The sequence below is a fragment of the Homo sapiens genome, chromosome 13 (assembly GCF_000001405.40).
Source record: "Homo sapiens chromosome 13, GRCh38.p14 Primary Assembly".
NCBI lineage: Eukaryota > Metazoa > Chordata > Mammalia > Primates > Hominidae > Homo > Homo sapiens.
The window spans coordinates 98,009,267-98,024,844 of record NC_000013.11 but is presented as its reverse complement, the minus strand read 5'-3'; the positions used below and the strand labels follow the sequence as shown (position 1 = coordinate 98,024,844).

Below are 15,578 nucleotides of genomic sequence, written 5' to 3'. Positions count from 1 at the left end.
AATCTTTTGTGGCAAAGAAGGTTAAGAGAAGCAAAGTGATTTCGTTTTTTTTTTTTTATTTTTATTTGAGATGGAGTCTCACCCAGTTGCCCAGGCTGGAGTGCAATGGCACAATCTCGGCTCACTGCAACCTCTGCCTCCCAGGTTCAAGTGATTCTCCTGCCTCGGCCTCTGGAGTAGCTATGATTACAGGTGCCTGCCACCACACCTGGCTACTTTTTGTATTTTTAGTAGAGATGTGGTTTCACCATGTTGGCCAGGCTGGTCTCCAACTCCTGACCTCAGGTGATCCGCCTGCCTTGGCCTCCCAAAGTGCTGGGATTACAGGCGTGAGCCACCGCGCCCGACCTGCAAAGTGATTTCTGTGCAGCAGAGAAAACTGACCCAACAATCCTCCTAGGCAGAATGAAGCAGTTATTAAAACATTTAGCTAGCTCCTTAGCCTTTCACGTTGCTTAAACAGGCACTCACTCAAAAGATTAGATCATAAAAATATAATGCTTGCAAGACTGTAAGTAAGCACCCCCCTTATTTATTATCAGACCAGGTGCACCAAGACCATTTATTTGCTTATGTCTTTACTGATGGTTCTGTCAAACTACAACTCCAGAGTTATAAGGTTGCCTCTCATTACAGAAGTGTCAATTAGATTTAAGACAATTTTACTTTTCTTTAAAGATACAGCATTTAAAAAATACTCCAAATTGAGTTATGCCAAAGTTTCTAACACTTGTGCGTGTAACTTGTTACAAAATTCCCAGAAAACGTAAGAGCCACACACATTTTTCCCCTCCAGAAATAGCTTGCATTTATAAACAATATATATCACTTGCTGACATGCAAGACCCCTAAATTTGGTACAAAAGCCAAGAAAAAACTCCATGGATTTTCATCTTGCATAGACAGAATGAGGTATTAAAAATGCTTCTGCAGGTCCTTTCAAAGAATTGTTAGTTCATGGTACATCTCACAGTTAGTTCTGAGCTCTGGGTTTCAGAATCATGTCACACTAACAGCATTTACTACCAACCTTCCCTATTAACTTGATTCAACTCCAATTACCTCTTTGCTTTTCTGCTTTTATCAAGGAGGATGCTGCCAGTCTGCATCTAACAGAGCGCTTCTTTCAGAGCTCTTAGAACCCTGCTGTAAGTACATCTCAGATACTAACGGCATCTGACAATACCACTAGTGTTTAAACTGGAAGGTAGGAGGTTCTTGCTCCCAAAGTGCTTAGCATAGTGCCCAGCAAACACTAGGTTCTCCCAAAAAACATCTTCTGACCACACTGTCATCTGAAATTCTGCAGGTGTGCCATGATTTTAACATGTTTCTTTTCTGCAAGTGTAGTAATAAAGTGTAGTAATAATTTAAATTAAAAAAAGCCTACATTGCTCTAGCTGATTGGCATCAGTACATGAATCGGCTTTGCAGATGCTACATAAGAAAGCAGAAAGGGGTTGTCTTGACACACTTTTTACTCCAATTCCCATTTTTTTCTCCCAAGGAATACAGGCTATAAAGCTCCAAATATTACCACACATTACAAGAGCCCACAGGTATTCATCCACTGAACACAAGGACTGCGCAGGTGGAGTCATTTAATATGCTGCTTTGCTAGATTCGGAAGCCTCCGGGCAATGGTGTTGTGCTGCAAACGTAAAATATATTTGAAGGGCATCTGCTAACAAGGAAACCATCTGTATGTAATCCATTCTATTTTCTATTCCATTTCAGATTTAGTTTTAATAAAGTAATACAAATCATTTAAAGAAAAAACCTTTAATTTAAAATTCTGATCTATGCATAAAATTCATTTTTATATCACGGTTAAATTTAGTACAAACTATAAAAATGTTAACACTGAAGTTTTCAACAGAAGTCTATTAAGATGCCTTAGAAAAATTAAACAACAGCAAGTCATTTACTGCTATGAGGTTAATACATAAAGAAACATTCACACATTTTACTGAAATTTTCAGTAAATAACTTTAGCCATAACACTTATAATTAAAAGTTCAAAAGTTGTGTGTGGCTCTACAGCAATTATAATTTGCAATGAAAACACTAAGCCAAATCTTTTTGAGCTGATCAGAACAATCTTAGCTACAAAATTGGCTGAAATTTGCAAACCTTAAAAAGAACACCAATTGTGAATGGAATAGGTATCATAACTTAGCTTAAAGTGGAAGATGGTAAAAACTCGATGCTTAAGTCTGAATTGCACAAGGAAAATATTAGGGGAAAAAACACTCAGCTATTACTGATAGCTATTACTTTAAAAAAATATTAGATCATTCTTATATTAAAAACATGAAATGAATCCAAGCCAGACAGTACTGAGTTTTTACACAAGCCTCTTTTGTATTCAATGTTGTTTATTGAGGAGTGAATGAGAGACTACTGCCAGACATGCCAATGACACTTCACATTCAAGGGCTGGAAGCTGGAAAGCTTCCCGACTGAGTCACTGTATAAGCCTTCTGGGAAAAAGAACCAAAGTGACATCAAATATGCCATCTTCATGCTTGTTGTCTGTCATCAGTTTTTTTCAACTTTTGGGTCTACTGGTTTGCTGGGTAGGAGGCTTCTTTCTACCCTACAGAAAGACTCACACTCCCAATTCACAATGAACACTGAATGCAGAGCAATTTGTGTGAACACACATCTACGCTGAGTAACTGTTCTTAAAGCTGTTTTTCCTTAAATTTCCTTATGTCTAACGAGAAAAATTAATTTGATTTCCCTTTCCCCTTCAGGTGGGCGGGTTATACCAATAGAAAAATAGTCTTCAGTGCTAGCTACCGCAGGGCTTCCAGGAACTCCTTCAGTGGTCTGGTAGAAATCCATGGAAACTCCATTCTGCAACACAGCGCTGCTCTTCCTGCTTGTGGCTCTCCAGAAGAATGGCCTACACACAACACTACCGATCTCTTTTGCTCAAAAACAAAACAAAGAAACCTAAAGGAAAGGGTAAGCGTTTATTTGGAGTTAGTTTTCTGGTGGGTGACATTAAGGCCCTTCACGCAGAGTTCAGGAGCTCCTGAATGGCGGCCTGCTGCTCAGGACTGAGCTGTGCTATGCACTCAGTCCACAGTCCTCCAGAAGTCTAGGGAAAGAAACATTTTCACAGACTTAGGACGAAATGCTCATTTGGAAGGATTTTAATCATCATCATAGGTAAACTGTAATCATGGCAAAATACCTTCTCCCTAGGTACATTATTTTGATGAGTATCATTGTAAAAGCAAGAAATCTGTTCATTTTTTTAAAGTTCATTTCATTTCCAGTAAGTTTTCTTCATTTTTGCACTGAAAAAGCTACACTAAGCAGGTAACATCTTAAAGTAACCCATATACCACATGAATATAGGAAGTAAAAATCATATAAAGTTTTTTGGCAGATGACAAGTTATTATTAAATCTTGTTTTTTTTTCTTAAGATAGGCAGAAAAACTACACATAAGCTTGTGTTAAGCACCAACTGGTAAGCTCAAAATGTCCTAAGATGAAGGTTTTAATTCTAATAAATAATAAGTACATACGGATGGATTACATTAAGTATAATCCATTTGAGGCTTGGAGACAAGAGACTATGAAAATATAAAAATAAAATTCCTTAGCTCATTAGATTTCTAGTTTCTTCTCATAGAGGACTACAAAGAAAAAAAGGTTTTATCTCCCCCTCCCCAATTCAACCAAATCAGCTTACCTGTACTTGGCGAACGACATTGGCCAGACGTTTGGCACAAGGATCTTCATGTTTAATTGCCTCGTGCATTTCTCCTTCCGCAATTATACTAAATATTTTGGGCAGATTGGTATTGTTTGGGCCAAGAACAATTGGATGATTACTGACAAATGAGAAGAAAACCTTAGTAAGTGAAATTTATAAGGAGAAATATGATTATGTGTTCACTAAAATCAATGGCCTTTTAAATTCAGTAGGAAGAAAACCAGCCAATCTTATATATGAACTCTTTAGTTTCTTTCTACATAAATTAGAAAAAAAAAATACTGGGCTCATCTCTCAGGATTGTTTTAAGGGCCAAACAACAGAATGCTCTAAATACCTTATAAATAATTTGTGATGTGTTAAAAAAAATGTTTTGTATTATTAAAAATAAGTTTAACACAAGTTTTATTTTGCTACTACAAAATAGCTTCTAAAATAACTCTGAAGTTCAAAAAAATTATATAAACATTTCAAGAATAAACTGGGAAATAAACTCAGGCAAGTTTAATGGGAAAAAACCTGATAGCGAATTTAAGAATTCTAGTCTTTGTCACTAAGAGAATTTCAGAGTAGTCGTTTCCAAGGAAGATGATCAAATAGCATGATTAAGACCTGGTCATTTCAGATGTAGGAGCAGGTCAGGAGTATGTAGTCTGCAGGATGGCTGTTACATTCCTTAATGATATGGTCAGTGGAAGACTCAAACCCATTTCTTATGTGAACCTGAACTTAAACAAGTATGGAGAATATACCTGTTGGCCTATTGCTACAATAGTGGCAGTGGTTGTAGCCCTTGAATTTATTCATAACCTAAAAATAATAATAGCGACAGAGCTTAGATCTGACTGATATTTGGGGGGAACTTGGACTTAGAAAACAGACACTAAACAACATTCCCTTAGGCTGGGTTTGGTGGCTCATGCCTGTAATCCCAGCACTTTGGGAGGCTGAGGTGGGAGGATCTCTTGAGGCCAAGAGTTTGCGACCTGCCTGTGCAAAACAGTTAAGACCTTGTCGCTACCAAAAAAATTTAAAAACAAAGAAATAAATAATTAAAGTGCCTCATCTGTTGAATCTAATTTCATAAAGAATAACTCAAAATTAGACCTTATTATAAGGGCAATGTTAACTGTGATATGGTTTCTTAATATGATTTATAAAGACAGCACTATTATAAACCTATACAACTGAGGACTGTGCAGAGATCATGTGGTTAAACCTTAAAAGACTGATGTTAGGCAAGAAAAACCAGGAAGCACTGTGGAGGAGAAGGAAATAAGGTCACAGTCTGCTTTCCTACCTTTCAATCAGGTCACACAGATAATTGAAAGTCTGAACAGCTTCTTCTTTATCTTCATGTAGTGGAAGCCAAGACAACCAGTGTGGAAGGACCTCTTCAACGTTTACACAGTCAGGCTTGAACTTCATGATTTTCCCTACTGCTGAGATGCAGTTCTCTGTAGCATTGACATTTTCTTTGGTCTTAGAATCCGCAGACTGAATAACTCTTACCAGCAGGGGAAGTGCTTCTAAAATAAGCATTTGAAAGAAGTTCAGCTAAAACCTCACATTTTCATGCAAATGAATATATGTATTTTTGTATTTGGTTCAGATATTGATTATGGTAAAGAAATGTTAAAGTGTATGGGAAGTGTTGTCTTCTTGGCTATGTCATTACAGAATGGCAACAGAGGGGGGACTGCCCCAGCATGGACAGGAGCACTAGCCCTCTACTAACTTAGAGACCCAGAGAGATTAGTGGCCTCCAGATTTACAGTACTCATCACATCACCCGAGGGTCCTTAAACTTTAAAAGCTGCCTAACTATATTCCCCAGTAAGTTTTAAAAGTCCTATTCTGCCAGGTGTGGTGGCTCACGCCTGTAATCTCAGCACTTTGGGAGGCTGAGGTGGGCCGATCACGAGGTCAGGAGATCGAGACCATCCTGGCTAACATGGTGAAACCCCATCTCTACTAAAAATAGAAAAAATTAGCCAGGCGTGGTGGCATGCGCCTGTAGTCCCAGCTACTCAGGAGGCTGAAGCAGAATTGCTCGAACCCGGGAGGCGGAGGTTGCAGTGAGCCGAGATCATGCCACTGCACTCCAGCCTGGGCCTCAATTAAAGAAAAAAAAAAAAGTCCTATTCTAAGGCTGTTGTATATTGCCAAAACGCAAAGAGAAATGCACCCTGGAAGGCTGGGGGCAGGGGATGTCTTTGATTCTATTTCTATGAGAATAAATCATCTTTTTATCATCTAAAATCCTAAATGCTACAGATGAGATGTCTGAAAACAGACTACAGCAGAAATAGGCAAATAATGTTTGGGAGTGTGGTAAAGAGAGTAAAGTAGGGATTCACAGGATGTCTGGAATGAAATGCACGTAACGGAATAAGCAAACGTACCTGTACAAAAAGGGCGATAATTATCTCCACCGTACTGTGCCATGACTCCCAGGCCATATGCAGCTGCTTGCCTGACTTCTGGGCTGTTGTCACATACATATTGGAGCATTGGTCTTAAGAAATATTCTGCGTATTTAAATGAGGCTGGACTACAGTGTTCTATGACATCATCAAAGATGCATAATCCCCATTGTCTGTCTGGCCATGGTCTATGTGGACACTACAAAAGAAATTCTCTTTTAAGCTTCAAATACTGGTGTACACAAAGAATGTAAAGAAATATTCACTATAGACTATCTGCTTACATTGATATTCCTCATACAGGCAAAAGAAAAAAGAAAACATAGTAACAACCACTTCTTGTGACCAACGATATTCAATCAAATACACAGATTTAATAAAATTTAGGTTTCAAAGACTTGTATGATTTGTTACAGAACTCTACAATCTGACACTATCACACAGAAGAACTGACAGTGGAAGCATTGTATATAAATTTACTTTGTAAAAAAGACAATGGTAATGCTACATTAAAAAAATACAATAATAATAAAAGCTGCAAAGATCTTAACTTATAGCATTTATTCAACAGGCTAAGTCATGTGTGCCCGAATCTTTTAAAAAATGTACTGCACTACTTAATACAATAAAATGCAAAATTGAAAGCCAAAAAGAAAAATTCCAAACATCTGATGATAGCTGCTAATTTATAATATATTTTTTAAAAACCGAATACACAGCCAGGCGAGGTGGCTCACGCCTGTAATCCCAGCACTTTAGGAGGCCAAAGTGGGCGGATCACAAGGTCAGGAGGTTGAGACCAGTCTGGCCGATATGGTGAAACCCCATCTCTACTAAAAACCCAACAAAAAAACACAACTAAAAATACAAAAAAACAAAACAAACAAAAAAACTGAATACACATAGGCCATTATATGATGTGTTGATGTAGGTCCATAACAGAAACACATGTATCTACTACTGTGATGGGGGGTGTTAATGGTGCTGAGGCCATGCACGCACAGGGGCAGAGGCACATGGGAAATCTCTGTACCTCCTGTTCAATTTGGTTGTGAATCTAAAACTGCTTTAAAATAGGAAGCGTAGGCCTGGGCGCAGTGGCTCATGCCTGTAATCCCAGCACTTTGGGAGGCCGAGGCGGGTGGATCACTAGGTCAGGAGTTGGAGACCAGCCTGGTCAACATGGTGAAACCCCATCTCTACTAAAATACAAAAAATTCGTCGGGTGTGGTGGCGTGCGTCTGAATTGCTTGAACCCAGAAGGCGGAGGTTGCAGTGAGCCGAGATTGCACCACTGCACTCCAGCCTGGGCGACAGAGCAAGACTCCATCTTGAGAAAAACAAACAAACAAACAAACAAAAAGAAGTCTATAAAACATTTTAAAAAAATCAAATATAAGGGTGAGAGAAGGTAAAAAAAAAATACATATATATATATATATGCCCATTATCCATAATCCATGATTGCTGGTAGTACATAACAAAGATAATTGAATTATCTATGGTCCACTAAAAAAGAAGTAACCATTCTGTTTCCTTTTATTAATTTAGGAGGGCACAGATAATCTGAAATAATAAAAAAAATCACTTATATATCTTTCAGATGTGTTAGAACTGAATTGGCCTATGGAAAACCAAGTTAGGAATCTTCAAGCATATAATGAATGAGAAAATATCCAGGGTAATGCAGTCAACTTGATAAAATCAAAGATGTACAATGGAAACAATCATTTCTGAGACCCATTTTAACTTCAAGCATTAGATTTTACGTTGCAGTGAAAAGAATTCCAGGTAAACTACGCAAAACAACTATTAAGAGAGGTAACACTTACAATGAGGTTGACAATTAATGGAAGCAGCTGTTCAAACCATGGTAACACCTTTTCTTTGTAGCTACTGAATATTGAGTGTAAAATATCTGACACTTTGGTCAGAATATAAACATCATTATCATCCTAAAAAAAACATACACATAAACACTCATATGGATTAAAAAGTATATTTTCTATTATCAATAGTAACATTTATAAAAACCTTAAAAAATGCAGAAAATCAATTTCTCATTCCTGTTTTAAGGGTAAATCAAGAGTCTAGAGACCGGAGTAACCCTCAAGTGTGGGTTATCATGTCTCTTACTAATCAAAGGCCAGTCTTACCTCGAAAGACAAAGGTGTGTGGCAAGAACTGTATTTATTGCAAAGATTTTCCTTGGAACATACTTAAAATAGATGGGTTGAAAAATTATCTCTAATTTCTACATTCTGAAACAAAGGTGTTTTCACTATTTTTACTTTGTTTTCAGCAGAATAATCCTCATTTCGGGGTGGATGGTGGGGAGAATGGGGTCTCGCTGTTAGTGGCAATTTGGGCCTACAAGCATGTGGGCACCTTCAGGAAGCTGGTACTACCTACACGGTAGCACTGGCCCACCAAGTGGCCACATATGAGATGCTGGACTCTAAACACACAATGAAGTATGCTTGACAGTCCTAGGTGGTTTGATGAGAGAACTAAGTAACATGGTGAAAAAGGCCCCAGACCGTCAACAGTGTGACTCTAGGCAATCATTTAACACTGGAATTTTAGGTTACTCATCTTTAATATAGTGAAAGCACCACAAAATACAAATGGTTGTTGTGAGCAGTATGTAAATGAACTAGGTAAACCTCAAGGTGTTTTGTTGAGTGAGGTATTACAACAAAATGCACATAGCACCGAAAGACATATCAGTTTAATTTCAAATTACTTATTCATAAATTAAGAGAGGAAATATATCTGACTCCTCTGCTAAAGACTGATAATTACATCAGAATGACAAGTCACATAAATCAGAAATTGAGGCATTTACAAGTCTTTCAGATGCAAGTGGTCACGTAAGTAAGTTCCAAAGGGAATAACTTACCTCATCTTGTAGTGACTCTTCGACCTGTTCATCATAGTCTTCATCTTGTCTTTTAACTAAAACACACCCAAATAAATGTTTTAAATGATTGCCAAGATGGTCAAGGATTATATTCAGAAATAAAAGCATGGAAAACTTACCTTGTCGTAATTCTTGATTTTTAAAATGTTCTTCAAGCTTTGCTTTCAATATACCTCCCAGTTCTTCAAAGTGTTCATTATTAAGGCATCCATCTCCCATTACTTCAATGCACTAATGAGGTTGAGGAAAGAAAGCAATCCATAAGATTTGGGGTGTTTGGAGTCCAAAGTTAAACTCCACTAAGAATCATATGGAAAAATGAACACAGTTCAGTATCCTGGAAGATTATTTACATATGCTTAGCTTGTATTTGTTAGAATGACAGCATTTTAGAGATTGGAGTTAGAAAAAAATATTTTCTTTTGAACACTACTGAGCATACCTAGGTGCCAGGCATCATGCTTGGTACTGAGGATTCAAAGATGGAAAACACACACACACACACACACACACACACAACCAGCTCCTAAGGAACACAATTGCTATATCCATACTCCGTACACACAACATACAAGAACACTGAAGGAAGGGCATTAGAGGTAGAAGAAATAAAATATAGGCAAAGGTATGGAAGCATGCTGTCTTTGGAAAATCAGAAGCAATTCTGAATTACAGGAGTGTAAATAAGGACATATAAAGATGCTGAGAAACTGTAAATCTTCAATCAAGATTGGAGCAAACTAGAGTTGTGCAAAATGGGAGTGACACTGTATGAGAAAGGAAGTGACTCAATGAAGAGGAAGGCAGTGCTTGAGGAAAGGAGAATGAACTGAGAGGAAAAGAAAGGAGACATCTGGAGTAGCCCAAGTGAGGCTATTTCAATGGCATGAAAAAGAGATGGGGCAATGAAAAAAAAAAAAAAGAGAAGAATTGAGGAAAGTGTAAAGAACAGAAACTGGAGATGATACCCAAGCTTCTATAGTTGGATTATTAAGTGCAAGACTAAAATACTAGAGTATTCAGAATTTCTTCTCTTTTTCCAAAGAATGCATGCTTCCATGCTGCTGCCCATATCATTCCCTCTACCTATACTGCCCTTCCAAGGCAAATTTACCCTCTTTAAAACAAACATAATAATACCAAAATATTAAAACAAAAAATTTAACATTTTTATTTTTTAACAAATCATACACTATAGCATATAAAAATTTATTTAGCTGCCTTACATCTGCAATCCCAGCACTCTGGGAGGCCGAGGTGGATCACCTGAGGCCAGGAGTTTGAGACCTGAGGAACATCTACTAAAAATACAAAAAGTAGCCAGGTGTGGTGGTGCATGCCTATAATCCCAACTACTTGGAAGGATGAGGCATGAGAATTGCTTGAACCCAGGAGGTGGAGGTTGCAGTGAGCTGCGATTGCGCCACTGCACTCCAGCCTGGGTGACAGAGCAATACCCTGTCTCAAATTTTTTTTTTTTACTTTTAGCAAGACTAATAAATGAACATACAACCTTATACATATTTTTTAAGAGAAAAATATTCACCTTTGCAAAAGAATGCATTATTTCTGAGAGGACGTCTGAATCTGGTTCTGTACCAATGGCCTTAATTAGAGCATCACACATAAAATGCCACATCTGTGTGAGATACTCAGGACCACGGACTCTTGCACACTCCAGGAGAAGAGGCATGGATTCCGCTGCTGCCACTCGAACACGTTTCATTGTTAAGGAACCTCAAAAGACTGTTTATTATTTTGCTTAAATGTTAAAGGGTTCAATGCACTAAAAGGAGTGCTAGGCAACTTCTGTTTATCTAAGATACCCAAGAGCTTGTGTTAAATATAAAGCATGTATAAAAATAGAAAAGACATACCTCCTGTCTCCTCTGTCACCTGTAATAGTGGCAGGAATGAGTCCAGCAGCAGTGAAGGGCTGCCTATTGCTCAAATGTAAACCAAAATACAAAAATGACTATGGAAGGACCCATGACCATTAGCATGCCTTAAGCTGTACCTACCTCAAAACCTTAGGTACTATCTGTTTCTAATAAAAGCAACTGAAGTATTTCCCTGAAAAAGACCACCGAGGACCTCTTCCTATGCTGGCCTTTTCAGTTTTTAATAAAGATTAAATTGCCTTTCCCTATCTAATCTCATTTATAAAATAAGGTCTTGATAACTTCCTCTTAAAAGCAATCCCGCTTTGTCCTCTGGCATCCTGGGAAGTTAAGTCTTTGTTGGGTAAAAGCTGTCTTCTGTAAAGGATACCACTATAGGATACCGTAAAAGGAATGATGACAAACGGGCTTTGGAGTCAGACAGATCTGGGTTTGTGTCTGTCTACCACTCTCGTGTGTAAAGGCATAAAAATGTACTGGAAAATATTAATTACGGCTATCATTATGTTGAGAAAGATATTGGAACGCAGATGTGGGTGGATCACCTGAGGTCAGGAGTTCGAGACCTGCCTGGCCAACGTGGTGAAAGCCCGTCTCTACTTAAAAACAAAAACAAACAAACAAAAAATACAAAAAATTAGCTGGGCATGGTAGCGCATGTCTGTGATCCCAGCTGCTCAGGAGGCTGAGGCAGAAGAATCGCTTGAACTTGGGAGGTGGAGGTTGCAGTGAGCTAAGATCGTGCCATGCACTCTAGCCTGGGCAACAGAGTGAGACCCTGTGTCAAAAAAGAATGCAGATGTGCCAAGTGATGTTTCCCCGCAAAGGTGCTATCCACATTTGAAATGTAGGGTTCTCACTGCTACAGAAAGCTGACCATCTATCAGTGGTTCTCTAATCTATTAAGACAGGTCTTGCCAGGCACAGTGCTCAGGTGTGTAATCCCATAACTTTGTGGGGCCAAGGCAGGAGGACTGCTTGAGCCCAGGAGTTTGAGACCAGCCTGGGCAACATAGGCAGACCTTATCTCTTAAAAAAAAAAAAAAAAAAAAAAAAAATCAAATCTAGCTGGGCTTGGTGTTGTGCACCTGGGTCCCAGCTACTTGGGAAGTTGTGGTTTCAGTGCGTCCTGATCACGCCACTGCACTCCAGCCTAGGTGACAGAGTGAGACACCATCTCTTAAAATAAAAGTCTTATTTTCTTAACGTTTACCAAAAGATATTTGGGGAAAGTAGCAACTATATATAATTGTAATCATTTGCTAATTATCCTTAAATCCTTAAGTGGGCCACAGAAAGCTGACAAACATAGGATAGGTCACGTTTTCTTTTTCATGTTTTGGCACAAGTGGAAACAAAGGCACATGCAGAGAACCGAGTTTATCACCTAAGAGTACACTTAGTGCAAATACAAACAATCATGGTGAAGTCTACTTCAGTCAACACTGTCTAATACTCCAAGAAACTACAAGTTTACTAAATCTAGACATGTTTTGTATTCAGAAGTTGTAGGATATCATCGTGGAAATAAAATTTCAGTAAAGGGACCATCAGTTTGACAACCTGTTCGGTGTACTCCACAAAGCCTTCCTTTAACTCCTTAGCATAGCAAACCTGTAACCAAAGTATTGGGAGGAAATAAAGATTCATGTTAGTCTTCAAGCATTAATATTAACAAACAGCAAAATCATAAGGACCACAGGAGGTTGTATTTTGACTAGAACTACATTTAAAGTTGCATGTAGAACTGTCAAATTAGTCTTCCAACTAAAAAGAGTCTTAAAAGAAGGGTCATGAAATGATTGTAGTATTGGTGAGTGACAAAAAGAAAAAAAAAAAGGAAATTATTGTCGTATATATTGTCCCTTCAAAGGCTGGAATCATTCGTATTCCATTCAGCAAGTTTCAGCAATACATCAAACAAAATGTATCACTTAATTGAGGAAAAATCATTCTAAAAGATACAAAAAACCCTGAAACCATCAGTTAATTGAAGCATTTACTTTGTAAATCTGTAGAAAACGCTTCTGTTATTTTGTATTTTTAAAAAATCATGGCTGGGCACGGTGGCTCATGCTTGTAATCCCAGCACTTTGGGAGGCTGAGGCTGGTAGATCACGAGGTCAGGAGTTCGAGACCAGCCTGGCCAACACAGTGAAACCCCGTCTCTACTAAAAATACAAAAATTAGCCAGGCATGGTGGCGGGCACCTGTAATGCCAGGTACTTGGGAGGCTGAGGCAGGAGAATCGCTTGAACCCAGGAGGTGGAGGTGGCAGTGAGCCGGGATGGCACCACTATACTCCAGCCTGGCTGACAGAGTTAGACGGATCACGAGGTCAGGAGTTCAAGACCAGCCTGGCCAACATGGTGAAAACCCGTCTCTACTAAAGATACAAAAAATTAGCCAGGCATGGTGGCGTGCACCTGTAATCCTAGCTACTCGGGAGGTTAAGGCAGGAGAATCACTTGAACCCAGGAGACGGAGGCTGCAGTGAGCTGAGATCAAGCCACTGTACTCCAGCCTGAGCGACAGAGTAAGACTCTGTTTCAAAAAGCAAAACAAACAAACAAACAAACAAAAAAAACCCCAAAAACCCAATTGTTTCATTCTCTTCTACTACATCTAAAGATTAATTCTGTTTAAAGATGTTATTATTTGTATTTGCTTTCCAGTTGAGAGAAAAAACCCACAAAAATCCAAAGTGTTTATAATTTATAGATACTAAGTATTGAAGATGACAATAAGAAATACATTAATTTCTAAAATCTAACTTTAAAAGTAAGTATTGGCCAGGTGCAGTGGCTCATGCCTGTAATCCCAGGTCATGGCAGGCGGATCACCTGAGGTCAGGAGTTGGAAACCAGCCTGGCCAAAATGGTGAAACCTCATCTCTACTAAAAATACAAAAAGTAGCCAGCTGTGGTGGCAGGCGCCTGTAATCCCAGCTACTCGGGAGGCTGAGGCAGGAGAATCAACTGAACGCCAGAGGTGGAGGTTGCAGTGAGTCGAGATCGTGCCACTGCACTCCAGCCTGGGTGAAAAAGAGAGACTCCACCTCAAAAAAAAAAAAAAAAAAGGATTATCCTTCACTTTAAAACGCATGCTCATAAAGAAAACAAAAAGAAAACTAGGAACTAAACATGCATATGCACACCACAAACACCATAAGGGATAATAACCGAACATTTTGATTTTCCTGCCATATCTGTTTTTTTACACAATTGAAATCATACAAGTTTTGTTTCACATTAAATAGCATGAACACACTTCTGTTCATTTGTTTAAAAAACATTCCATGGCCACCTACTATAGACTAAGAACAAAACCAACAAAAATCCTTCCCTCATGTAGCTTATAAACTTTTTGTAATGGCTGTATATTACTCCAAGGCACAGTAATTCATCTTCCCACTAACAGGAATTTGGGCTATTTGTTGTTTTTTGCTATTTAAAACAGCACTGATAATGAAAGGTTTATCCATACGATTTCTTTAAAATGGAAAGAAAACTTTACTTTTTAAGGAACATATTACTGGCTCTCCAAAGTAATTTCTTTAGCAGCTATTAAAAGCACTCATATGAAATGTATATAAGATGTAAAATAAAAGTTTAGTAAAAACAGTGCTCTCTTACCAACATCTGGCAAGCAGTTGATTTTTCTTCTAGTCCTGCAGTTTTAATACCAAAGCTTTGCTGATCTCCAAGGTTCACAAATTCCCAACCATCATCATCACTCATATTCTCCATGTCTTGGGCTATTAACGGAGAAGAAAACAAATGCATATGAAAAATAATAACAAAGAGAGAACTATTATAACCGATAGCTCCTTCTAAAGACACCTACTATCTAAAAGGGCTACTTCGGGCTTAATTGAAGCCGTCTTCATTAAAGGCCCCATAACCACTGGAAGGTATTGCTGAAATTCTTTTCCAAGGATTTTGCACATTCTGGCCCATGCTGAGATCATGTAAGAGATCTGGGGAAAAATTTTAAAATTAAAATAGATTAAAAAACAATGGGTAAACGTGATAAAGAAAGCCATTTCCTTATTTCATAGAAACAATGTTTTATTGATATGTTCACAGTACTTTAAGCAGTAAGAGCATTTCTAAAGGTTATGTACTTAAAAGGTTCAGAATCAATAATGAAATCCCTGTGAACTCACTACACTGGGATATGGACAGCAGGTGAGGCAAAACACAAAGACCAGAACCTTGGGTATTTCTTTCTACTTTCAGTAAGTGATAATGGTTTTCTTTCTTAGCATCTGAATCATCTAAATGAAACTAATCACCTAAACAAAACCAAACACTTCATCAACTCCCAGTTACAAATTTTTTGAAGACAGAAATGTATTTTATCTGACTCTGTATCCCTATTGCCTGCCACTCCATTCATTAAACATTTATTAAAACCCAAGAAACAAAACATCCTTTTCTCTTAGCTGTTATAATTTTCTCATAAGTGGCTGAGTATATTTAAAACACCTCTTCTCCTATTACTGTGTTTACACAGACTTTATCATCTGCAAATTACCTAGAGAATCTGGTTCCATTCACCACCCCTGCAACCTAGAAAGTGATTCTTATC

General features: G+C 38.2%; 1 protein-coding gene across 12 annotated transcripts in view; it reads right to left on the bottom strand.

Moving 5' to 3' along the window:
- Nucleotides 1-548: 548 nt before the first annotated feature.
- The window catches only part of IPO5 (importin 5), a 70,622-nt gene continuing 55,592 nt past the window's right edge, over nucleotides 549-15,578 (bottom strand). For all 12 annotated transcript variants that reach the window (XM_024449346.2, XM_011521089.3, XM_047430298.1 and 9 more), the window contains 11 exons: nucleotides 14,832-14,964; nucleotides 14,621-14,742; nucleotides 12,503-12,599; nucleotides 10,631-10,803; nucleotides 9,204-9,315; nucleotides 9,064-9,119; nucleotides 7,994-8,116; nucleotides 6,141-6,360; nucleotides 5,036-5,264; nucleotides 3,712-3,853; nucleotides 549-3,109 (listed from right to left, as the gene is read on the bottom strand). In XM_024449346.2, the coding sequence (XP_024305114.1) occupies nucleotides 3,023-3,109; nucleotides 3,712-3,853; nucleotides 5,036-5,264; nucleotides 6,141-6,360; nucleotides 7,994-8,116; nucleotides 9,064-9,119; nucleotides 9,204-9,315; nucleotides 10,631-10,803; nucleotides 12,503-12,599; nucleotides 14,621-14,742; nucleotides 14,832-14,964 (1,494 nt within the window). In that variant the 3' untranslated portion in view covers nucleotides 549-3,022. The remainder of the gene's footprint in view (nucleotides 3,110-3,711; nucleotides 3,854-5,035; nucleotides 5,265-6,140; nucleotides 6,361-7,993; nucleotides 8,117-9,063; nucleotides 9,120-9,203; nucleotides 9,316-10,630; nucleotides 10,804-12,502; nucleotides 12,600-14,620; nucleotides 14,743-14,831; nucleotides 14,965-15,578) is intronic.